At 44.0% G+C, this 24,740-nt stretch overlaps 1 protein-coding gene and 1 long non-coding RNA gene across 9 annotated transcripts in view; one reads left to right on the top strand and one right to left on the bottom strand.

Annotated features, from left to right (window-relative positions):
* KPNB1-DT (KPNB1 divergent transcript) overlaps positions 1-24,740 on the top strand; it is a 27,902-nt gene extending 3,162 nt beyond the window's left edge. For 2 of the 3 annotated variants that reach the window (NR_171700.1, NR_171701.1), the window contains exons 2-4: positions 9,666-9,755; positions 19,640-19,720; positions 24,180-24,740. This is a non-coding gene — a long non-coding RNA (KPNB1 divergent transcript). Of the gene's footprint in view, positions 1-9,665; positions 9,756-19,639; positions 19,721-22,200 lie in introns of all 3 variants that reach the window. The other variant, NR_171699.1, reaches the window with a different exon arrangement.
* The window catches only part of NPEPPS (aminopeptidase puromycin sensitive), a 100,344-nt gene continuing 98,594 nt past the window's right edge, over positions 22,991-24,740 (bottom strand). For all 6 annotated transcript variants that reach the window (NM_001330257.2, XM_017025373.1, NM_001411130.1 and 3 more), the window contains one exon: positions 22,991-24,499. In NM_001330257.2, coding sequence (NP_001317186.1) covers positions 24,347-24,499 — 153 coding nt within the window. In that variant the 3' untranslated portion in view covers positions 22,991-24,346. The remainder of the gene's footprint in view (positions 24,500-24,740) is intronic.

Below are 24,740 nucleotides of genomic sequence, written 5' to 3'. Positions count from 1 at the left end.
AGTTATCCGCCCACCTCGGCCTCCCAAAGTGCTGGGATTACAGGCGTGAGCCACCACGCCCAACCCATACAATTTTGAAAAAGCCGGGCATGGTGGCATGTACTTCAGGAGGGTGAGGCAGGAGGATTACTTGAGGCCAGGAGTTTAAGGCTGCAGTGACCTATGATCCTGCACTCCAGCCTGGGTGACAGCTAGACCCTGTGGCTGAAGTAAAATGCTGGGAAAATAAAAGTTTTACAGCAAAGTTCCAATCAAACATAAAATCCTTACCAAAATCAAAATGAACTGACTTTAGTTGAACTAAAGTTACTGATGGTGCTGTTTAGTTCTTATCAAAAGTACTCACATTCAATAAATGCTGGTGAGGTACCGGAGCTTGAGTGATGAGCACAGACTCCAGAAATTGGGTGCCTGAGTTCCTATCCCAGCTCTACCACTTCTTAGTTTGTGAGTTAACTTTCCTCAATGTAAAATGAGACTATTAATTGTCCTTACTATGTAGGGACAAATAGGGAGGTCCTAAGTGAGTTAAGACATGGTGAATGGGCTGAGTGCAGTGGCTCATGCCTATAATCACAGCACTTTGGGAGGCCAAGGCTGGAGGATCACTTGAGCCCAGGAGTTTGAGGCCAGCCTGGCCAACATGGTGAAACCCTGTCTGTACTTAATACAAAAATTAGCCAGGCGTAGTGGCAGGAGCCTTTAATCCCAGCTACTCGGGAGGCTGAGGCAGGAGAATCACTTGAACCCAGGAGGTGGAGGTTGCAGTGAGCCGAGATCACGCCGTTGCACTCCAGCCTGGGTAACGCAGCGAGACCCTGTCTCAAAAAAGAAAAGAAAAATATGGCAGCTTTAATTTTAATTTAAAAAAATAAATAAAAGACATGGTGAATGCCAGTCTAGCATGTTATGTATGCATTGGCTGTTATCTCCTTACCATGTATTTTGTGCTAAGTGAGTGGTCCTTGGTCTATTAGGGAAGATAGACTTTAATCATTTAATCTCTCAAACATGTAAAGTTGTAAAAGTGACACATGTCAAGGAAGGTTCCAGTCAGGGAGTTCAGGGAAAGCTTAGCTGAGGAAGGGAAGAGAGTTACTCAGGTGAAGAAGAGAGGAATAGTGTGTATGGAGACTCTCGTGGGAAGGAGCTTGGGGATTACAAGTTACTGCAAGAATGCCAGTGTCCCCAAAACAGAGAACAAGGGATTGAGTTGAGCTAGTTTTGAGTGGAGGCAAGACCATATAAGATCTTCCCTGCCATGCAAGTGGTTTTGTCTATATCCTAAGAGCAAAGGAGAGCTATTGAAAGGTTTTAAGAAGGATGGTCATTACAATGTCGAGATTGGGTGGGAAGGGGAAAGAGCAGATGCAGGGAGACCAGTTAGGAGGCCGTTGCAGTAATCACATAGGACATGATACTTGTGAAAAGGAGAAGGGTGGAAGTAATGGTAGAAACACAAAGAGATATCGAAATTAATTGAGCTTGGTGATTTTTTTTTTTTTTTTTTTTTTTGAGACAGGATCTCGCTTTGTCTCCCAGGCTAGAATGCAGTGGCATGAAGAACTTTGCGATTGATTGAAAGAAGAGGGAAGTGTCCACTGGTCCCTACTAGATTTCTGGCTTGCACTGCAGAATGGGTGGTGGTGCCACTTTGCAGTGTTTCCCAAGTGGGAGGAGTTGGTGGCCACATGGTTTAGTAGGATGGGGAGGATTACACCGAGACTTCAAGTTGCATTTCCTTGAACTATGTATGGATTACATCAGGCTTTTTTTTAGACAGGGTCTTACACTGACCCAAGCCGGAGTACAGTGGCGCAATCTTGGCTCACTGCAGCCTCCACCACCGCTATTCAAGCTGGGACTACAGGCACATGCCACCACACCCAGCTAATTTTTGTAGAGACATGGTCTCACCATGTTGTCCAGGCTGTCTTGAACTCCTGAGCTCAAGCAGTCCACCTGACTCAGCCTCCTAAGTGCTGAGATTACAGGCGTGAGTTACTGCGCCCAGATGCTTTCTTCTTTCTCAGATTATCAAAGAAATATATGTTCCTCACTGTAGGAATTTTGAAAAGGAATTCCGCAGAAACCACCTGCAACCTCAAATTATATCCACCATTAAAATATTGGCATATTTTCCCCAAAATGGTTCTATTTTAAATGGAAACCAAAATATTCCTATGTATCATTTCTTGTTGACTCCAAAAAATGTACTTTTAATGATTTTATTTATTTATTTATTTATTGAGACTGGATCTTGCTCTGTTGCCCAGGCTGAAATGCAATGGCATGATCTTGGCTCACTGCAGCCTCAACCTCCCGGGCTCAAACAGTCCTCCTCCCTTAGCCTCCCAAAAAGCTGGGACTACAGGTGTGAGCCACTGCACCTGGCTAATTTTGTTCATTTTTTTGTAGAGACAGGGTCTCCCTATGTTGCCCAGACAGGTCTTAAACTCCTGGACTCAAGTGATCCTCCTGCCTCTGCCTCCCAAGATGCTGGGATTATAGACATGAGCCACCTTGCTCCGCCCTTTTAAGAATTTTAAATTGACTCAACTCTTTATCAAGTTGCATTGAAAAGATAATATGAATTAAACATATGTGAACTGGCCCCAGTACATTTTCACACTGGTAGTGCAATGCAGAAGTGAAGCCTTTTAACTTTGACTTAACCTTTAAAAAAGGTACCTACTGATAGAATAAGCTAAAAGTTGCAAATCGTTGAAGTATGTCCACTGGGTCCCAAAACTGGAAGTTCACTGAGGCCTGTCTTCCTGGCCAGGTGTCACAGGGAATCCTGTACTCTGGCCCAGGGCTATTCTATCTTTTCTGTTTTTTTTTTTATATGTATAATTGCATAATGCTCTATTTTGATTGTCTGCCTTGTACAATTTGTATGTATGCATGTATCTTTTGTCCTGAGTTAGACTATGACTCAGGGTTTCTCAACCTTGATTATTTTGGACAACATAATTCTTTTTTTTGTGGGTGTTGGGGGGCGGTGGTGGCAGAGAGCAGAGTCTCACTCTTGTTCAGACTGGAGTGCCATGGCGTGATCTTGGCTCACTGTGACCTCTGCCTCCCAGTAGCTGGGTAACCTCCTGAGTAGCTGGGATTACAGGCATGCACCACCACACATGGCTAATTTTTGTATTTTTTGTAGAGACGGGGTTTTGCTGTGTTGCCCAGGCTTGTATCGAACTCCTGGCCTCAAGTGATCCACCCGCTTCGGTTTCCCAAAGTGCTGGGATTATAGGCATGAGCCACTGTGCCTGCCCTCACATAATTACCTTTGGGGAAGCTGTCCTGTTCATTTCAGAATGTTTAGCAGCATTTCTGGCCCCTGCCTACTAAGTTCCACTGGCTCGTCTCCCACCAAGTCATGGTGGGACAATCAAAAATGTCTCCAGATGTTACAGAATAACTCCTAGGAAGGGAGTGAATCCCTGCTAAATCCTCCCCACAATTGAGAACCACATTTATAGCTCCTCAAGGTTAGAAGCCATGTCATATAAATTCCTGTGTTTCCTGCCTAGCACATAGTAAGCATTTTTATTGTCCAAACAATATCATTGCTTCATGAAAATAATAGCTTTTTTTTTTTTTTTTGAGACCGACTTTCGCTCTTGTTTCCCGGGCTGGAGTGCAATGGCACGATCTTGGCTCACCGCAACCTCCGCCTCCTGCGTTCAAGCGGTTCTTCTGCCTCAGCCTCCCGAGTAGCTGAGATTACAGGCATGTGCCACCATGCCCAGCTAATTTTTTTGTGTTTTTAGTAGAGACGCGGTTTCTCCATGTTGGTCAGGCTGGTCTCGAACTCCTGACCTCAGGTGATCCACCTGCCTCGGCCTCCCAAAGTGCTGGGATTACAGGCGTGAGCCACTGCACACGGCCCTTTTTTTTTTTTTTTTTTTTTTTTTGAGACAGCATCTTGCTCTGTCACCCAGGCTGGAGTGCAGTGATGTGATCCCACTGTAGCCTTGAACTTCCCGCTTAAGTGATCCTCCCACCTCAGCCTCCTCAGTAGCTGGGACTACAGGTGTGTGCCACCACACCTGGCTAATTTTTGGGGTGTGTTGGGGGGTATTTTTTGTAGAAATGGGGTTTTGTCATGTTGCCCGGGCTGGTCTCAAACTCCTGGGCTTAAGTGAACCTCCCACCTCCCAAAGTGCTAGTATTATAGGTATGAGCCACTGCACCCAGCCTGATGTTTTTAAAACACTTACTCTTTGTATTGTTCAAGGCTCTTTACATATAGTAACTCATTTAATCCTCCCAGCAACCCTCCAAAATAGGTACTCCTATTGTGCCTTTTTTACAGTCAAGAAACTAAGGCTTGGCCAGGTGCGGTGGCTCATGCCTGTAATCCCAGCACTTTGGGAGGCCGAGGCGGCGAGGCGGGTGGATCATGAGGTCAGGAGTTCAAGACCAGCCTGGCCAAGACGATGAAACCCCGTCTCTACGAGAAAATACAAAAAAATTAGCCGGGCATGGTGGTGGACACCTGTAATCCCAGCTACTCGGGAGGCTGAGGCAGGAGAATTGCTTGAACCAAGGAGGTGGAGGTTGCAGTGAGCCAAGATCGCGCCACTGCACTCCAGCCTGGGCGACAGAACGAGACTCCCTCTCAAAAAAAAGACAAAAAACGAAAAAGGAAACTAAGGCTCAAAGAGTTTAGGTTAGTTGCTTAAGGTCACCCAGCTGAGAGAAGTGACACCTGGGATCTGAATACTACTAGCCCAGGTAGTCTGGCTACAGATTCTGGGCTGTCAACCATTTTGCTGTATACTGCTTCTAAATACAAAGAAAAGAATTAACTCATGACAGTGCTTTCAAAAAGCCTCATGTTATCCATCTGCCCACAAAATTTGCATAGACAAACATATGGTAAAAATAAAATTTCCTGGCCAGGCACAGTGGCTCACGCCTGTAATCCTAGCACTTTGGGAGGCTGAGGCGGGTGGATCACCTGAGGTCGGGAATTCAAGACCATCCTGACCAACATGGAAAAACCCCGACTCTATTAAAAATACAAAATTAGCTGGGCATGGTGTTGCATGCCTGTAATCCCAGCTACTTGGGAGGCTGAGGCAGAAAAATCGCTTGAACCTGGGAGGTGGAGGTTGTGGTGACCCAAGATTGCGCCATTGCTTCCAGCCTGGGCAACAAGAGTGAAACTCCATCTCAAAAAAAATAAAAAATAAAAATAAATAAATAAAATTTCCTATTCTGCCACAAAACATGATACAGTATAGCAAAGCATGTTGCTGTGTTGCTGAAATTTTCTAAGTTTGAATGGCTGCATCCTAGTCTATCAAGAGGATAAACAATAAACTAATGTAACCAGTCCCTTGTTATTGGGCATATGGGTTGTTGCTGATATTTATTTGAAACATAACTGTTTTTGAAATATAATTTACATGCAGAAAGTGCACCAATTTTAAGAGTACAGTTTGGTAAGTTTTGACAGATGTATAAACCTGTGCTACCACTACCACAGTCAAGATACTGACCATCGGATCACCTTTGTTCCTTTCTGTGGTAATGTGCTGGAGCTAGCTAGTACCAGCTCAGGAGAGCCAAATATGTACATCTCTTCCCAAATCTACATTAGTAACATCGTATTAGTAGCTCAAAGTTGGTCATGGTGGGAGTATTTACACCACAGAAAACAGTAAGTACCACAAATCCAGGCTTTTTCTTTCTTTCTTTTTTTGGGAACCAATTTACCAGCACCATGACTTACACTCCTTTGCAATCAACCTCCTACATCCTACAGCCACAGTCTACTTGTGGACATTATTTTATTTTGTGTTCTCTAGAATTTTATGTAAGTAAAATCGTGCCATATGTACTCTTTGGTGCTTCTTTTGCTCCGTGTGTTTTTGAAATGAAGCACATTGTTATGCATAGCAGTAGTTCATCCCTTTTCATCGTTTTCCATTGCATGGATGTACCACACATTTATTCATTCATCTGGTGATGGACATTTGGGTTGCTTCCATTTGGGATTACTATAAATAAACTTGTCATAAATATTTATGTGCCAGTCATTGGATGGACAAGTTTGAATTTTCTTGGAAAAATAGCTAGGAGTAGAGTTGCTGGGTCATATGTTAAGCTTATATTTTTATATAAGGAGCTGCTAACCTGTTTTCCAAAGTGGTTTGAGACAGGATTTTGCTGTGTTGCCCAGCCTGGAGTGCAGTGACCTACAGCCTCAACCTGCCCAGCCAATCTTCTCACCTCAACACCCCAAGTAACTGGGACCACTGGTGCATGCCACCACTCCTGGCTAATTTTATTTTTTGTAGAGACAGGGTCTCACTGTGTTGCTCAGGCTGATCTTGAACTCCTGGGCTCAAGTGATCCTCTCACCTTGGCCTCCCAAGGTGCTGGGAATACAGGTGTGAGCCAATGCACCCAGTCAGTCTTGTCTTTTTAGTTTTAGACATTCTAGTGGGTGGATGTATAGTGTTATCTCATTGTGTGTATTTTTAAATTGCCTTTATTGTGGTATAATATATTTTTTAAAATGCAGGTTTTAGGTTTCTATGCTAATCTGATCACCATCACAATCAAGATAGTGAACATTTCTATCACCACCAAAAGTTCTTGTGTCACTTCCAAACGACTCTCCTCCTCCACCTCCATCTCCAGGCAACCACCAATCTGTCCTCTGTCATCATAGATTGGATTTGTCTCTTTTTTTTTTTTTTTTGAGGCAGGGTCTCACTCTGTCACCCAGGCTGGAGTGCAGTGATGCAGTCTCGACTCACTGCAACCTCCATTTCCTGGGTCAAGCAGTCCTCCCACCTCAGCCTCCTGAGTAGCTGAAACTATAGGAATGTGCCACCATACCCGGCTAATTTTTGTGTTTTTTGTAGAGACAGGGTTTTGCTATATTGCCCAGGCTGGTTTCAAACCCTGGACTGAAGTGATCCTTCTGTCTCAGCCTCCCCAAAGTGCCGGAATTACAGACATGAGCCACCACGCCTGGCCAGATTTGTCTTTTTTTAGACTTTTGTATAAATAGAATCATAAAACATGTACTATTTTTGTGTCTGTTGTCGTTTGCTTAGTGTGAGATTCATCCAGTTGTTCCATGTATCAATAGTTTGTTCCTTTTTCTTGCTGAGTAATATTCTGATGTAGGAATTTGCCAGAATTGGCTTAGTCATTCTCCTGTTTATGGACATTTGGATTATGTCTGGGGCTACTATGAATTAATGCTGTTTTGAACGTTTTTGTGTAAGTCTTTGTGTGGACATCTGTTTGTTTGTTTGTTTTGAGACAAAGTCTCACTCTGTCATCCAGGCTGGAGTGCAATAGGGTGATCTCGGCTCACTGCAACCTCAGCCTCCCGAGTAGTTGGGATTACAGGCATGTGCCACCATGCCTAGCTAATTTTTTTTGTATTTTTTTGCAGAGACGGGGTTTCACCATGTTAGCCCAGCTGGTCTTGAACTCCTGACCTCAAGTGATCCACCTGCCTCAGCCTCCCAGAGTGCTGGGATTACAGGCATGAGCCACCGTGCCCAGCTTGGACATGTGCTTTTATCTTATTTCCACCTAGGAGTGGAAATGCTAGGTCATATGGTGCGCATATATTTATAAGAAACTGCCTAACTCTTTTCCAAAGTTGCTGTATTACTGTACATTTCTACCACAGATGTTTGAGAGTTTTAGTTGCTCCACATTTTCATAAACACTTGATATTGTCAGTCTTTTTAATTTTAGCCATTCTAGTCATAGTATTTCATTATGGTTTAAATTTGCATTTCTATGATGACCTAATGATGTTGAACATTTTTTTTTTTTTTTTTAGATGGAGTCTCACTCTGTCACCCAGGCTGGAGTACGGTGGCATGATCTCGGCTCACTGCAAGCTCCGCCTCCCGGGTTCACGCCATTCTCCTGCCTCAGCCTCCCTAGTAGCTGGGACTACAGGTGCCCACCACCACGCCCGGCTAATTTTTTGTATTTTTAGTAGATGCAGGGTTTCACTGTGTTAGCCAGGATGGTCTTGATCTCCTGACCTCATGATCTGCCCGCCTCGGCCTCCCAAAGTGCTGGGATTACAGGCTTGAGCCACCGCGCCCGGCCAATGATGTCGAACATTTTTTACCAGTCTACTGACCATCATATATCTTATTTTGTGAAATACCTGTTTAAATATTTTGCCCATTAAAAAAAAAATTGATCTAGGCCGGGTGCAGTGGCTCACACCTATAATCCCAGCATTTTGGAAGTCCAAGTGGGGTGGATCATCTGAGGTAAGGAGTTCAAGACCAGCCTGGACAACATGGCGAAACCCCATATCTATTGAAAATACAAAAATTAGCTGGGGGTGGTGGTGTGTGCCTGTAATCCCAACTATGATGCCTAGAACAGGACAAAACAAAATCTAAACTTTAAACAGAGGATACATATTCTCAGAGATATAACAATGTTGTATCAATGAAATAAGAACAGGTTTTTTTTTAAAAAAGAACATTGGAGAATAAAACATCTAAAAAATATGATAACCATTAACTTTAATCAATGAGTTGGAAGATAAAATTGAGAAAATAGCTTTTTAAAAAACCCTAAAAGCCAGAAAAATTTTTTAAAAACTAAAGGTGGCCCAGTAAGACTAATACTCAATTAAGAAGCATTACAGAGGGCCGGGTATGGTGGCTCACACCTGTAATCCCAGCACTTTGAGAGGCCGAGGTGGGCAGATCACAAGGTCAGGAGTTCGATACCAGCCTGACCAACATGGTGAAGCCCCATCTCTACTAAAAATACAAGAATTAGCCGGGCATGGTGGCGCATGCCTGTAATCCCAGCTACTCGGGAAGCTGAGGAAGGAGGATTGCTTGAACCCCCGAGGCGGAGGTCACAGTGAGCCGAGATTGCGTCAGTACACTCCAGCCTGGGTGACAGAGTGAGGCTCTGTCTCAAAAAAAAAAAGAAGCGTTATAATGATATGGAACATAGAGAAATGGAGAGAAAGCAATCATCAAAGGAAAAATTCAAGAAGTCATCTCAGATCTGAATGGCCTAGATTTCCAAAATGAAAGGCCCACTGAGTATACAATGTAATGGATGAAAATGTTCATTCAGACATATTATCATGCAGTTTCTGATCAATGTGTTAATAGAGGATCCTAAAACATAGAAAAAGCAGGTCACATTCAAAGGAACAGCGATGAGAATGGCATCATGTTTCTTATTAGCCATGCTGAAGGATAATGTAGGAATGTTTTCCAATGATTTATGATATATAATTTTATAAATTATTTAAATTGTGAATTCAGTAGAGTAAGCATATTTTCAGGGCCAAGTATAGTGGCTCATGCCTGTAATCCCAAGCCTTTGGCAAGCTGAGGCTAATGGATCACTTGAGCCTCAGGAGTTCAAGAGCAGCTTGGGCAACATGGTGAAACCCTATCTCTACAAAAAGAAAAAAAAAGGTTTGTGCTTGGAGTCCCAGCTGCTTGGAAGCTGCACATGGAGGATCACCTGAGCCCAGGGAGATAGAGGCTGCAGTGAGCCATGATCATGCCACTGCACTCCAGCATGGGCAACAGAGTGAGACCCTGTCTCAAAAAAATAAAAAATAAAGCATATTTTCAGATACGTGAAATCTTATTTCCTATCCATGTACCCTTTCTCAGGAAACTACTGGAGGATGTGGTGCACCAGAATAAGAGAATAAACCAAGAAACAGGAAGACGTGATCCAGGCAACAGGATATTCCAGTATAGGTGAGAAATAAGAAAGTCTCCAAGATGATAATGAAGGGAAATCCTAGGGTGATAGCTGGCCTGGCAGCAGGCCTAGGGAGCAATCAGTAAGGCTGGAGCCAGAGGACAAAAGCCTCCAGGAGGGAGGTACCCAAGAAATAAGATGAAATGAATACAGGAAAAATCTACACTTTTAGTGAATGATGGAGAATAAATTCATGATTGGAACATAGAAAACTAAGCAAATAAATCCCAATTTTGTTTTTAGGTATAATTGACTCCATGAAATTTTTTTTAACTAACAAAGAAACAAAACATAATCATAGTAGGCTAAATTGCCCAGCGGTGAATAATATATCCAGAGGCATAAACAAAGTGTGTCGATTTCCACCAAGCCCAGCATAACATGGGCTTTCCTCTTTATGGTCCAAGATGGCTACTTTCCAGCCGTCCTGCCTGCACTCCAGCCAGCATGAGTCCTCTTTGTTCCAGCTATCCTGGGTTTCTTTTGGTTAACTAGGAATTGAATTAATGAAATTCAATTAGTAAATTAAAGCATTAAGTTAATAAATGTTTGAATTAAAATATTAGTCTGGGCATGATGACTCATACCTCTAGTCCCAGATACTTCAGAGGCTGAGGTGGGAGGATCAGTTAAGCCCAAGAGGTAGAGGCTGCAGTGAGTATTGTGCCACTGCACTCCAGCCTACATGACAGTGGGAGACCCTGTCTCCAAAAAAAAAAAAAAGCCAGGCGCAGTGGCTCACGCCTGTAATCCCAGCATTTTGGGAGGCTGAGGTGGGCAGATCCTTTGAGGCCAGGAGTTTGAGACCAGCCTGGCCAAGATGGTGAAACCCTGTCTCTACTAAAAATACAAAAATTAGCTGGGCATGGTGGTACACGCCCGTAGTCCCAGCTACTCAGGAGGCTGAGGCAAGAGAATCTCTTGAACCTGGGAGGCAGAGGCTGCAGTGAGCTGAGATCTCACCACCACATTCCAGCCTGGGTGACAGAGCTAGGCTCCATCTCAAAAAAAAAAAAGAGAGACCCTGTCTCGGGCGGAGTTCCAGAACAGCCAGGCCAACATGGTGAAACCCCGTCTCTACTAAAAATACAAAAATGAGCCAGATGTGGTGGTGGGCGCCTGTAATCCCAGCTATTTGGGAGGCTGAGACAGGAGAATCGCTTGAACCCGGGAGGCGGAGGTTGCAGTGAGCCGAGGTTGTGCCGTTGCACTCCAGCCTGGGTGACAAGAGCAAAACTCTGTCTCAAAAAAATAAAGTAAATGCATCACTGAGTATTCAGAACAGCTGGGTTTTGACAGAGTTTCCAGTGATGACTTGTGTGACCTTGGGTAAAGCACTCTCTGGAACTCAGGTCCTTTTCTGAAAAATGGGAGGGTGGAAGAGATGATAATAAAAACATCAACCACAGTGCAGATCACAAGGATGTGGCAGTGCTGTGTAAGTGACTGAATGCTATGTAACCAGCTCAGCCGCCTGAGTAGCTGGTACCACAGACACACATCACCATGCCCGCCTAATTTTTTTTGAAACAGTCTCTCACTATGTCACCCAGGCTGGAGTGCAGTGGCATGATCTCGGCTCACTGCAACCTCCACCTCCTGGGTTCAAGCAGTTCTCCTGCCTCAGCCTCCCAAGTAGCTGGGACTACAGGTGCGCGCTACCACTCCTGGCTAATTTTTTGTATTTTTAGTGGAGACAGAGTTTCACCATGTTGGCCAGGCTGGCCTTAAACTCCTGACCTCAGATGATCCACCCACCTCCACCTCCCCATTGCTGGGATTACAGGCTGAGCCACCGCGCCCAGCCAACCCTGTGGGTAATTTTTAAATTATCTGTAGAGACAAGGTTGTGCTATGTTGCCCAGATTGGTCTCGAACTCCTGGGCTCAAGCAAGGAATCATCCCGCCTTGACCTCCCAAAATGCTGGGATTACAGGCATGAGCTGCTGTGCTGGATGGTGATTTTTCAAGAAAAGCTGGTAATCTGGATTTTTATTTAAAATACCTCGATTTTTTAAAGCTGGAATGGAAATTTTCAAGCAGATTGAGGGTTTTTGGTCTTCCCACCCACTGGCCACATGAGAAAATAAAATAAATAAGTAAATAAAATTTCAAAAAGACTTTGAAAGCATTGTGTAGGTCAAGAAAAAAAATGCAAGTTTGCAACCTCTGGGGTATAGTACTATAGAACATTTAGAGTAGTCAGTGACCTCTCTGGGGAAGAACTGTGTTTAGTTTGTTCTACTCACAGTTAGCAAGAGGGTTGTGGTAATGGTAAATCACATGCCTATCTGGGCAGAAGCTCTGCCCTCCTATACTTGGGTAATGTTTCATATTTTGCAGGCAGAGAGGAAATGGCCCAAAATGAGCCCTTATGTTTCTCCATGGTGACATGTCAGGGCTGGTCTGGAGAGGTAAACTCCAGGTTTCTCATCCATTCTGTGAAATTTGACTACTTGTTGTGCCTACTACTCGGAACCATTGCAAGAATAAAGTATCACATATTTGGAAATAGGTGGAATTTCTCCTAAAGTGTAATAAAGCAGGCACCAATTGGGATGATGATTTTGCCATGAACAGCTCAGAGTGTAACATTTCTGGAATGATGGCAGCTGCTATAAAAGCTGAGCTAGGACCAGCCTGGCTAACATGGTGAAACTCCGTCTCTACTAAAAATACAAAAATTAGCTGGATATGGTGGCGCATGCCTGTAGTCCCAGCTACTCAGGAGGCTGAGGCAAAAGAATTGCTTGAACCCAGGAGGCGGAGGTTGCGGTGAGCGGAGATCGCACCACTGCACTCCAGTCTGGGCGATAGAGTGAGACTGTCAGAAAAAAAAAAAAAAAGAAAGAAAAAAAAAGATGCTGGGCTTGAGCTTTGGCTATAAGAAATCAAGAGGTGGCCGGACGCAGTGGCTCACGCCTGTAATCCCAGCACTTTGGGAGGCCGAGGCAGGCGGATCACAAGGTCAGGAGATCGAGACCATCCTAACACAGTGAAACCCCGTCTCTACTAAAAATAGAAAAAATAAGCCAGGCAAGGGGGCATGCGCACGTAGTCACAGCTACTCGGGAGGCTGAGGCAGGAGAATTGCTTGAACCCAGAAGGCGGAGGTTGCAATGAGCTGAGATCGCACCACTGCACTCCAGCCTGTGCGACAGAGTGAGACTCTGTCTCAAAAAAAAAAGAAAAAAATCAAGAGGCAAGAATGCTTTGGTGATTCTGCTCTGGTGGGTTTGAGAAGGAGGCAGAATGATCTTTTCTGAAAGCGGTGTCAGGGAGTTGGTGTAGAGCTGAGAAATCCACATTGCCATAAATGGTGTGATCCTGTTCCAAAGAGCTGCATTCACCCCCAGGCTTCATAAGTCTCACACTGGAAGTTTCAACTGAAATAAACTTATGACCTTTCCATCAGTTCCCTGGAGCAGGTCAGGGTTTTAGAGGGTATTTCATATTCCCATTATGAGGAGATTTGAACTCTTGGGTTCTATTAAGAAAGCAGCACAACTTCTTATTACTAATAATATAATCTTAGTAGTATTCCTATAATGCTTTATAACTTAAAAAGACCTTTTATTTGTATTATTCTCATTTTGCTCCCTGATAACTATGAGATAACTGTTGTTATTATTCCCACTTTACAGGTGAGGAATGTGATGTTCTCCCATTGTTCCTTAGTTAGAGTCCTGAATATTTTTACTTTTTTTGGAGAATTGAGTCACACTATGTTTCCTAGGCTGGTCCTGAACTCCTGGGCTCAAGTGATCCTTCCACCGTTGCCTCCCTAAGTGCTGGGATTACAGATGTGAGCCACCATGCCTGGCCGAGTTCTGAATCTTTAACAAGGCCCAAGTTCTTGCCAGCCTGGCTCTAGTCTGTTTCTCCAGACCCCTCTTGTACCACTTTCCCAAGAGCTTTCTGTTCTCCTGGGTTTCTTTTTTTTTCCCCAGTATCTTTTTTTTTTTTTTTTTTTTTTTTTTTTGAGACAGAGTCTCGCTCTTGTACTATCTTGGCTCACTGCAACCTCCACCTCCCGGATTCAAGCGATTCTTGTGCTTCAGCCTCTCAAGTAGCTGGAATTACAGATGTGCACCACCACGCCTGGCTAATTTTTTTGTATTTTTAGTAGAGACGGGGTTTTGCCATTTTGGCCAGGCTAGTCTCAAAACTCCTGACCTTGGGTGATCTGTCTGCCTTGGCTTCCTAAAGTGCTGAGATTACAGGCGTGAGCCACTGCACCATGCTGTTTCTTCTGCTAATAAGACTTATTTTATTTTATTTTTTTAAATGGAGTCTCACTCTGTCGCCAGGCTGGAGTGCAGTGCTGCGATCTCAGCTCACTGCAACCTCTGCCTCCTGGGTTCAAGCAATTCTCCTGTCTCAGCCTCCCAAGTAGCTGGGACTACAGGCGTGCACCACCATGCTGAGCTAATTTTTATATTTTTAGTAGAGACAGGGTTTCACCATGTTGGCTAGGATGGTCTCGATCTGTTGACCTGGTGATCTGCTCGCCTCGGCCTCCCAAAGTGCTGGGATTACAGGTATGAGTCACTGTGCTCGGCCGAGTATCCTCTTTTTTTTTTTTTTGAGACAGGGTCTTGCTCAGTCACCCAGGGAGGAGTGCAGTGGCTGGACCACATCTCATGTACCTGAACTTCCTGGGCTCATGCGATCCTCCCACCTCAGTCTCCCAAGTAGTTGGGACTATGGGCGCATGCCACCACGCCTAGCTAATTTTTTTTTTTAAGTAGATACTGGGTCTCACTATGTTACCTAGGTTGGTCTTGAACTCCTGAGCTTAAGCGATCCTCCCACCTCAGCCTCACAAAGCGCTGGGATCACAGGTATGAGCTACTGCACCCAGCCCATCTTGGATTTCTTTTGCTTTTTTTTTTGAGACAGAGTTTTGCTCTTGTTGTCCAGGCTGGAGTGCAATAGCACTGCCTCGGCTCACTGCAACCTCCATCTCCCAGGTACAAGGGATTCTCCTGCCTCAGCCTCCCGAGTAGCTGGGATTACAGGCGCCCGCCACCATGCCTGTCTAATTTTTTTGTATTTTTAGTAAAGACGGGGGTTCACCATGTTGGCCAGGCTGGTCTCGAACTCCTGACCTCAGGTGATCTGCCTGACTCGGCCTCCCAAAGTGCTGGGATTACAGGCGTGAGCCACCGCGCCCAGCCCTCTTTTGCTTTCTTAAATAGGTCTGCTTCCTTCTAACTACAGGCCCGTTGCACATGCTGTTTCTTCTGCTAATAACACTTTTTCTCTCCTCTTTGCCTGGCAACTACTCATCTTTCATGTTTCAGTTTAACATTTCTCCAGGGAGACTTTCCTGAACCTTCAGGCTACTTTGAACTGTCTGGTATAGCACACTAAACTTCCCACTCCAGAGTTGGCACACTTAAAATTACTCATTCGATATCTCTTGTCGCTGCTAGATTGTAAGCTCCATTAGGGCAGAGACCAAGTCTACCTTATTTGATACTGTAGCCTCAATATCTAGTATAATAGGCATTTCCTTCTGCAGTAAAAGCTTTTGCAACTATGTAGTGTCTGCCATCTGAATCCCATAGCCATTGAACAAATCCATCAGAACCTTGCCTTGAATACTGCACTCAGGTTTAATGCTGTGGGGCTTTTCTGATAAGGTTCTTGTGATAACCAAGGTCTTTTGATCAGTGGCCAAAATGCACACCCGTCCCATCAGATAGCAGCCTGTGAGGCTGGAGCACAGTGCTGCTGTATTATTTGATAATGACTAGAAAAGGCTGGTCCCCTTCTCACCAGCCTTCTGTGATGCTTATGTACCAATGAGAACGTTTGCCCAGCATCTTAGTGGGGATGGCTAAGTTTGGATCCTAGAGAACAGGAACATTTAAAGCTACCTAGATTATTCCTATCTCAGGTCTTTCCTGGGTTTAGTGCACACTTGGGGCATTTCTGGATGGATGGCACATTTGTTTTATTTGTTGGAAGCAGTGAGGTGTAGTCACCAAGTTAACAGGGGTAAGCCTAGGAGTCAGGGCAACACAGTTGCTCAGGCTGGCGTGGCAGGTGTCAGCAGGTAAGCAAGCCCCAGTGGGAGGAACGCATGGCCTCATTCAACAGTGTCAGCAAGCTGAAGTCCCTGCACATTGGGAACCTATGAGAAGAATACCCTCACCCCCCTTTTTTTCAAACCAGTCACATCTCTCTTCACCAAAATCTTTGTGAAATTCATCATCATATAACTTCCTGAATCTAGTTAATGGTGATATTAACCAAAATTTGTAGCTCAACACCCAGGCAACAGTGTATAGGATTGCAAGTGTTAGTTCCAAATATAGTGCAGTTCACATCTCCAGTGAGGGAAGTACATTGAGTGAATTCATTACATGAGCCACTTAAACTAATTGAACCAGGAACTTAAAGTCACGTTCTTCAAATGTGTGCAGTCCACAAAACTGGCATTTAACATCAGGAAGTCAGGCTGGAAAACATTCATGAACCAGTGACTCTAAACAAGGAAGAAACACTTCTCAAGGTATGCATTTGCCAGCTGTTACTTTGTTCACAAGTAGTCTTTGGTGATTAGCTTCGTGACTTAGGACACGGGTGGCAGCTCTGAGCATGGCACATTTAGTTTCATACAGCAAAGACTGAAAACACGTGGCACTGGTTACGTGGTCAGACAAGTGAAGGAGGCACAGCCTATCTTCATTACTAAAAATATTCAAAATGCATAGAGTATAAAAACGTAGAGGAGTTTGTAAGAAGAGAGTCACTTTTTTTTCCTTCAATTTTTGGAAAATGAATACGACATGTATTACATTCATGAAAAATAAAATTTTAAATGAATAGGGGTTAGTGATAAAATGTTCTTAGGTGATCAGCAATTTGTTACAAGATTAGTAAAAATGTAACTTTGTTTTTTGGAGACAGGGTCTCATTTTGTTGCCCAGGCTCTATAGTGCAGTGGCACGAACATGGCTCACTGCCGCCTCCACCTCCTGGACTCAAGTGATCTCCCAACCTCAGTCTTCTAAGCAGTTGGGGCTACAGGTGTGTGCTACCACACTCAGTTAATTTTTTCAATCTTTTGTAGAGACAGAGTCTCACCATGTTGCCCAAGCTATTACTTTCAGTGATACACAAAAAAATACACTTGGATATATGAGGTGTAGCTCAGGGTGGTCCAATAGAACTTTCCTGAGTGATGAATATGATTTATATCTGTGCTGTTCAATACAGTAGCCACTAGCCTTATGTGGCTGCTGCGCAGTTGATTTGTGGCTAGTGCAACCAGGCAACTTTTTTCTTGAGACAGAGTCTTGCCCTGTTACCCAGGCTGGAGTGCAGTGGCATGGAGTGCAATCTCCGCCTCCTGGGCTCAAGCAATTCATCTGCCTCAGCCTCCTTAGTAGTTGGGATTACAGGCATGCGCCTGGTTAATTTTTGTATTTTTAGTAGAGACGGGGTTTCACCATGTTGTCCAGGCTGGTCTTGAACTCAAGTGATCCACCTGCCTTGGCCTCCCAAAGTGCTGGGATTACAGGCATGAGCCAGCCCCAAGCAACTTTTTATTTAATTCTAATTAATTTAAATAGCTGTGAATGGCTAGTAGCTACTGTATTGGTCACATAGGTCTTCCATTTGCTGAGAGTAAGAAATTAAGAGAAGGCCAGGTTTGGTAGCCAAGAGATCTAAGTCATGTACTATTTCGTTGTTTATCCAATAGTCTGTCTACTCTGTTACTGTTATAAGAATGAACTAAGAGGCCAGGCGCAGTGGCTCACGCCTGTAATCCCAGCACTTTGGGAGGCCCAGGTGGGCGGTCAGGAGTTCAAGACCAGCCTGGCCAGCATGGCGAAACCTCATGTCTACTAAAAATACAAAAATTAGCCAGACAGGTGGTGCATGCCTGTAAGCCCAGCTACTTGGGTGGCTGAAGGTGGGAGAATCGCTTGACCCTGGGAGGCGGAGGTTGCAGTGAGCCAAGATCACGCCATTGCACTCCAGCCTGGGCAACAGAGCAAGACTCCATCTCAAAAAAAAAAAAAATGAACTAAGGCGGGGCAAGATGGCTCATGCCTGTAATCCCAGTAACTTGGGATCACGTGAGCCTAGGAGTTCGAGACAAGCCTGGGCAACATGGTGAAACCCCACCTCCACAAAATTAACAAATTAAATTAGTGGGTGTGGTGGCACACACCTCTAGTCCCAGCTACTCAGGAGGCTGAGGTGGGAGGATCCCTTAAGCCCAGAAGTTCAAGGCTGCAGTGAGCCAGGATCGCACCACTGCGCAGTGAGCCAGGATCGCACCACTGCACTCCAGCCTGGGTGACAAAGAGATCATCTCAAGACAAAAAAGAAGAAAACAAAGAACTTCTTTACACTTGTAGAGGGCACAGTATTAACTTCATCCTATCACATCCCTTTACATTCTGACTTACAAGTGCTCTGCTGATAGAAGAGGAAATTGACCTGTTAGAAAAGCAACAGCAATCTCATCCATTCTCATTCATCTCAAATATTTTAAGTGCTTTGTACATTTTCTTGTAAGTTGTTTCCTTCCATCTCCCTTCTATTATTTTGTATGGTGTTCTTGAGACTTCTCCCACTAACCTAATAGCCACTCCACATACTGATTTTTTCTTCTCCTTATTTTTATTACTATTATTTTTGTTTGTTTGAGACAGGGTTTTGCTCTCACCCAGGATGGAGTGCAGTGGTGCCATCCTGACTCACTGTAGCCTCAACTTCCTGGGCTCCAGCGATCCTCTTCCCACCTCAGCCTCCTGAGTAGCTGGGACCACAGGCATATACCACTATGCCTGGCTAATTTTTTTGTATTTTGTATAACGAGACGGGGTTTCGTTATGTTGCCCAGGCTGGTCTTGAACTCCTGAGCTCAAGCAATCCACCCACCTCGGCTTTCCAAAGTGCTGGGATTACAGGCATGAGCCACCCCCCCGGCCCTATTATTGAGACAGGGTCTCACTGTCACCCAGCCTGGAGTGCAGTGGTGTGACCATAGGTCAGTGCAGCCTAAGCCTCCTGAGTAGCTGGGACTACAGGCACATGCCAACATGCCCAGCTAATTTTTTTTCTTTTAGTAGAGATGGAGTTTTACCATGTGGCCAAGGCTGGTCTCAATCTCCTGAGCTCAAGTGATCCTCCCACCTTGGCCTCCCAAAGTGCCGGGATTACAGGTGTGAGCTACCATGCCTGCACCTCCTTAACTATTTTTTATTTTTTTGAGATAGGGTCTTGCCTTGTCACCCAGGCTGGAGTGCAGTGGCATGATCTCGGCTCACTGCAACCTCCTGCTGGGCTCAAGCGATTCTCCTGCCTCAGCCTCCCAGGTAGCTGGGACTACGGGAGCATACCACCACACCCAGCTAATGTTTGTATTTTTTGTAGAGATGGGGTTTCACTATGTTGTCCAGGCTGGTCTCAAACTCCTGGGCTCAAGTGATCCGCCTGCCTCAGCCTCCCAAAGTGCTGGGATTACAGGCGTGAGCCACGGTGCCTGGCCCCCTGCTTAACTTTAAAAGTACAGGCTAATAAACATTAAGGAAGAGAATGTCCAGATGAGTACAAATAATGCAAGGTAATCAGTGCCCTATTAAGAGTTGCCCAGAATTGCAGTGTAACGTAATACACCTGTAAAATTTGTCAAATTGGTGATGAAGGTTAAAGGTGGTTAGAGTAGGGGTAGGGGATGTCTCAGAGGACCATATTGGTACTGTCAGCCAAACCACGGCAAGGATTATTTTTTTCTTCCTGGTAGTCATCTTAATTGATGTATAGTATATCTGCTGTTAGCTGCTACAACCTCCCTGAGAAAGCACAGATCATGACAGTAAACTATGTTCATTCTCTGCCAATTCCTCCCCAGTGTTGGAAACAGAAGCCCAGTAGTGAAAGCTACAGCTGCCATATACTTGCAGTGGAATCACAGGAGCAATCACAGGTCTTTGTAAGTGGCAGTAACAACTCACTTGACTTTCCTTCACCTGACACTGTCACCTATCACAACACTGGCCATCAAACTGGTAGAACAACCAGTCCTCTGATTTGGTTTCCTAGGGAAGGCAGTTGTTCGGCTCAATGTTTTGTTAACATCAAGGCTCTTATTCTTGCATTTGAAACCAAACACCTCAATCATTTTGCTTGCACCAGGGTTGGTACAAGAAGGCACGGTCCTTCTTGGGTGGGTATTTTGCATTGTCACAAATACTCTTATTTAGAGAAAACCAACTCTGAAACCCTAAAACTAGTATCTAGTAAAGGAAGAGATTCAGTTCTATCAAGCAATATATTTTTCAGTCAAGAGTGACGCTGTAAGTATAGATTCAGCAGTATAAACATATTACCAAAAGCTTGGATTTTTATTTATGCATTTTATTTTTGAGATGGAGTTTCGCTCTTGTTGCCCAGGCTGGAGTGCAATGGCGCGATCTCGGCTCACTGTGACCTGCGCCTCCCGGGTTCAAGCAATTCTCCTGCCTCAGCCTCCCAAGTAGCTGGGATTACAGGCATGCGCCACCACACCCGGCTAATTTTTTTTTTTTTTTTTTTTTTTTTAGTAGAGACAGGGTTTCTCCATGTTGGTCAGGCTAGTCTCAAACTCCCGACCTCAGGTGAACTGCCCGCCTGGGCCTCCCAAGTGCTGGGAATACTGGCGTGAGCCACCGCGCCTGGCCTGTTTATTTTAAAATTAATTGTTTTTTTTTGAGAGGGAATCTTGCTCTGTTACCCAGGCTGGAGTGCAGTGGTGCAATCTCAGCTCACTGCAACCTCTGCCTCCTGGGTTCAAGTAGATTCTCTCACCTCAGACTCCCGAGTAGCTGGGATTATAGGCATGCACCACCACACCGACTAATTTTTGTATTTTTAGCAGAGACGGGGTTTCGCCATGTTGGCCAGGCTGGTCTTGATCTCCTGACCTCAGGTAATCCACCTGCCTTGGTAAGTGTTGGGATTACAAGCATGAGCCACTGTGCCCGGCCCACTTGCTTTTATTTAATAACTTGCTAAAAAATAAAAACAAAAAACATTAGCACTTACATGTGGCTCCATGATGTCTTTCTGGTAATTCTGGAAACTTTTTGGGTTATAGAATTTGAAGAATCTATTTAGAGCTATAGAACTCCTCTTAATCCTCCCCAAGTTGTACTCAACAGATTTATTCCTTGCTCCCTAAAACCTATCCTTAGAAATTGCAAGTTGAGAATTCACCCCACCACTGCCCACTGTTCCAAAAAGCTTTACTGAATCTCATTAATGAAAAATAATGTAAAACTCTCCATAGGAGGCATTAACATACTTGTTTCTTCCAAACCTTCTGATTTCCACTAAAATTTGTAACCAAAATATATTAGGAAAAAGTAATTAAGCTTTAATGCTATTGCCTGGCCCAGTCTAACTATGATCTTTTAATTGTGGAGACATGGCAGTTCCCTGAAAGACCACAGCCTTTGGAGACTAGCAAACCTGGCTTGATCACTGGTTGATAGTTATTTTGCTGTATTAATTTGCCTTACTTTTCTGAGTCTGCATTCTCATCTGTAAAATGGGTGTATGACTTATGATAGGGAGCTATTTGAAAAACAAAACATCTGACACAGAAAAGGCTGAATTAAAACCTTTAGAGACCCAAAGCAGCAGGGCTATTGTGCCCAAATCACTCAAGGTATTGGTAGGAAAGAACACAAACTGAGGAAGGTTTAATAAAGGACTATTTACAGAGACATGGACAGAGTGCAGGAAAATCAATGAAGAATAATGGCGTAATCCAGGGCTGGTAACTAAGTCCTTTTTTTTTTTTTTTTTTTTTTTTTTGAGACAGTCTCGCTCTGTTGCCCAGGCTGGAGTGCAGTGGCACGATCTCAGCTCACTGCAGCCTCTGCCTCCCAGGCTCAAGCAATTCTTGTGCCTCAGCCTCTCAAGTAGCTGGTATTACAGACATGCATCACCATGCTTGGCCAATTTTTGTATTTTTAGTAGAAACAGGGGTTTCATCATGTTGACCAGGCTGGTCTGAAACTCCTGACCTCAGGTGATCTGTCTACCTCAGCCTCCCAAAGTGCTGGGATTACAGGTGTGAGTGACCGCACCCAGCTTGAGTCTTCTTTTTTTTTTTTGGAGACGGAGTTTCACTCTTGTTGCCCAGGCTGGAGTGCAGTGGCACGGTCTTGGCTCACTGCAACCTCTGCCTCCTGGGTTCTGGCAATTCTCCTGCCTCAGCCTCCCGAGTAGCTGGGATTACAGGCATGCGCCACCATGCCCAGCTAATTTTTGTATTTTTAGTAGAGACGGGGTTTCACCATGTTGGCCAGGCTGGTCTTGAATTCTTGACCTCAGGTGATCTACCCGTCTCGGCCTCCCAAAGTGCTGGGATTACAAGCGTGAGCCACCGCACCCAGCTCTCGAGTTCTCCTTTCTTTCTATTCCTAGATGTGAAGGAGCAAAGAGAAGGAGCCAGAAGCTAGAGGGGGCTGCTTGGTAAGAGCTGTGGTCTTTGCTAAAGGGACACAGACAACCCATGTGACCTGGCAATGAGAAAGCCAGAGTACTCTGACCATCTCTTCCTTATATCTTCTCATCTTCTTTGGATATTAATAATTGGATAAACAGAAGCTGAAGTCAGAGGGCAAGGGAGCCATTCATGCTGCAGTCCATGTGGGTCAGCACCCGCTGGGGTCCAGAGTGGGATGAAGAGGGGTTCTGAAAGGCAAATGGAAGACATCTAGTATAACCTCTCCCTGAACGTAATTCAAACTACTTAACTATTATTACAGACAAAAATCACATGTATGCTGAAAGTAAAATAACCTGTTTCCAGAATTTCTGATTGCAAAATTCTGAGTTCTTCAATTAAACCTGCATTTTTCTCAGTCTTTTTGGTGCCCCTGCTTCACTGGTGCCTTAAGAACATTTGAGAGCCTAAGGGCAGCCCTGAGCATGGTGCCTGAACTAGGGTGCCTCAAAACTAGGGACTGAGGAAGTCTCAAGTTCATTCCTGAATGCTGACTATAAGAGTCTCTGAGAGAGTTTTGAGAATGTAGAACTGATTTAGAATGAATCTCAGGATTTTTCTGTTAAGATCTATAAATTAGGAATTAAGGAACTGGATTTTTTTTGAATTTGAAAAATCCTATGATAGTATAACTTTGCATAAGCCTACTGAATGATAGGAAAGTTTTTAGTTTCTTATCAAAGAAAGAGAATAAAGTGAATCAGGACATCAGTTTCACATTGACATTTTTATTAACGCCAACTGTTTTTTAATTATTTTTTTAAAACAATAGCACAAAAATGTTTCAAGGAAGCAGTCTCACAATCTGATGACCTTCTGAAATACCGTTAAGCCACACCAAATATGAATTTCTGTTAATAACACAAAATATTTTTTTAAGAAAAAAAGAAAAAAAAGGTAGGGAAAGAAGAAGGGAATGAGATTTAGATTTAAAACTCATTGGATTAAATAGGTGAGGCTTATTAGGATATACTGTTGAAGCAAACAGTGGCACACACAGGCTTACAGTCTTTGTTTTTTAAACCAGTTACCACTAATGTATTAAGCCCTGCAGCAGTTACCACTGACTTCTCGCACGCATAAAATGAACCGGGAGAAGCCAGTGTTGATACTGTTGTGAAGAGGTTCAAGAGCTGGCTTTTCAGACAACTAAGACCATTTTTAGCAGAATAACTCCTTCAGAAAGGCCTGGCTGAAGATCTTTTTATTTCTATTGTCTCACCTATATAAATTTCAGGGTTCTTATAAGTCATCTTTAAAAAGAAAAAAATAATGTATATCAGTTTCTCTTATTTAATGTGGCTATGAAAGATGTTTCCTTATTATTTCTTCATCTCTAAGAAGGACACCAGGGAATGGGGGTTGGGGGTGGAACTAAAGGGAGGAAAAAAACCAGAACAGGGTAGGTTTTTGTTTTTTGCTTTTTGTTTTTTTTTGGCCAAGGGGTCGGTCACACAGAAGGGAAGGCAAGGAGGAAAACTAAACTACAATCCTTGGTTCAGATTGAGTTATGCAGGAATATATCTTCCTGATCAGTCCCCGTGCCAAAAAAAAAAAAAGCCACTTGGAATTATGCACTGACTCCAACTATGTGATACCAGCTATCAGCCTTTTGTGTTTAACCATTCCCAGAAATGGACACCACCCTTGGCTTTATAGGCTCCTTGCAGAACCCACTTCACAAAAATGCTCTTCACCAAGAAGCCTCTAGTTTCCTTTTGGTAGGTTATAAAAACAGAACATCTGTCATTAACAGTAGAGTGTTAAATACTTTTAACCACTGACAAGGCTTCAGAAAGTTTCACAGTTTCGTTATGCTCTATTTTATTACTATCATATTTACATTTTTATTTTTTATTTATTTTTTGCTGAATTGCTGATTTTCCTTTTTCAATAGAATTTAATTCTGGAGTGTGAGCAGGAACCAGTTAACTACATTCATTGTCCAACCCCCACTGGTTTGAAAGAAGACTCCAAATTCTTGGCATATGAATCAGCTGTTCGGTAGCTCCACCTTATCCCTGCAGCGAAGCAGCAGAACCGCCAATGGCGGCACCTCAGGATTCACACTGTGGGTGGTGAGGCCTTCCGCTGAAGGAGGTACTGGTGGATGCTCTCAGCATCTCGCTTTAGCCAGGCAGCATTCAGCAGAATATTTTCACAACACTGCTGGATGGTACGCTCAGCTGAAGGAGCTGGGTGACTCTCGAAGAAAGCCTGGTATAAAACAACCCAGAATGCAGGATCATTACTAGCAATAAGAAGTTAATATTACAGGTTATGAAAAAATACCCACTGGTCTATATGAAGGATGCATAATCTTCAGGCATGAGAATTTACCACTGCCACCCTCAGGCTAAAAGAAAACAAGCAACTCCTTGGACCTGCATATAGGAATTCTCCCCTTAATTATATGCTTAACAACCTAATCAAAAGTTAATAAAGAGACAGAACCTAC

The sequence above is a fragment of the Homo sapiens genome, chromosome 17, assembly GCF_000001405.40.
Source record: "Homo sapiens chromosome 17, GRCh38.p14 Primary Assembly".
Lineage (NCBI taxonomy): Eukaryota > Metazoa > Chordata > Mammalia > Primates > Hominidae > Homo > Homo sapiens.
The sequence above is the reverse complement of the archived record's forward strand: the minus strand, read 5'-3'. Positions and strand labels throughout refer to the sequence as shown.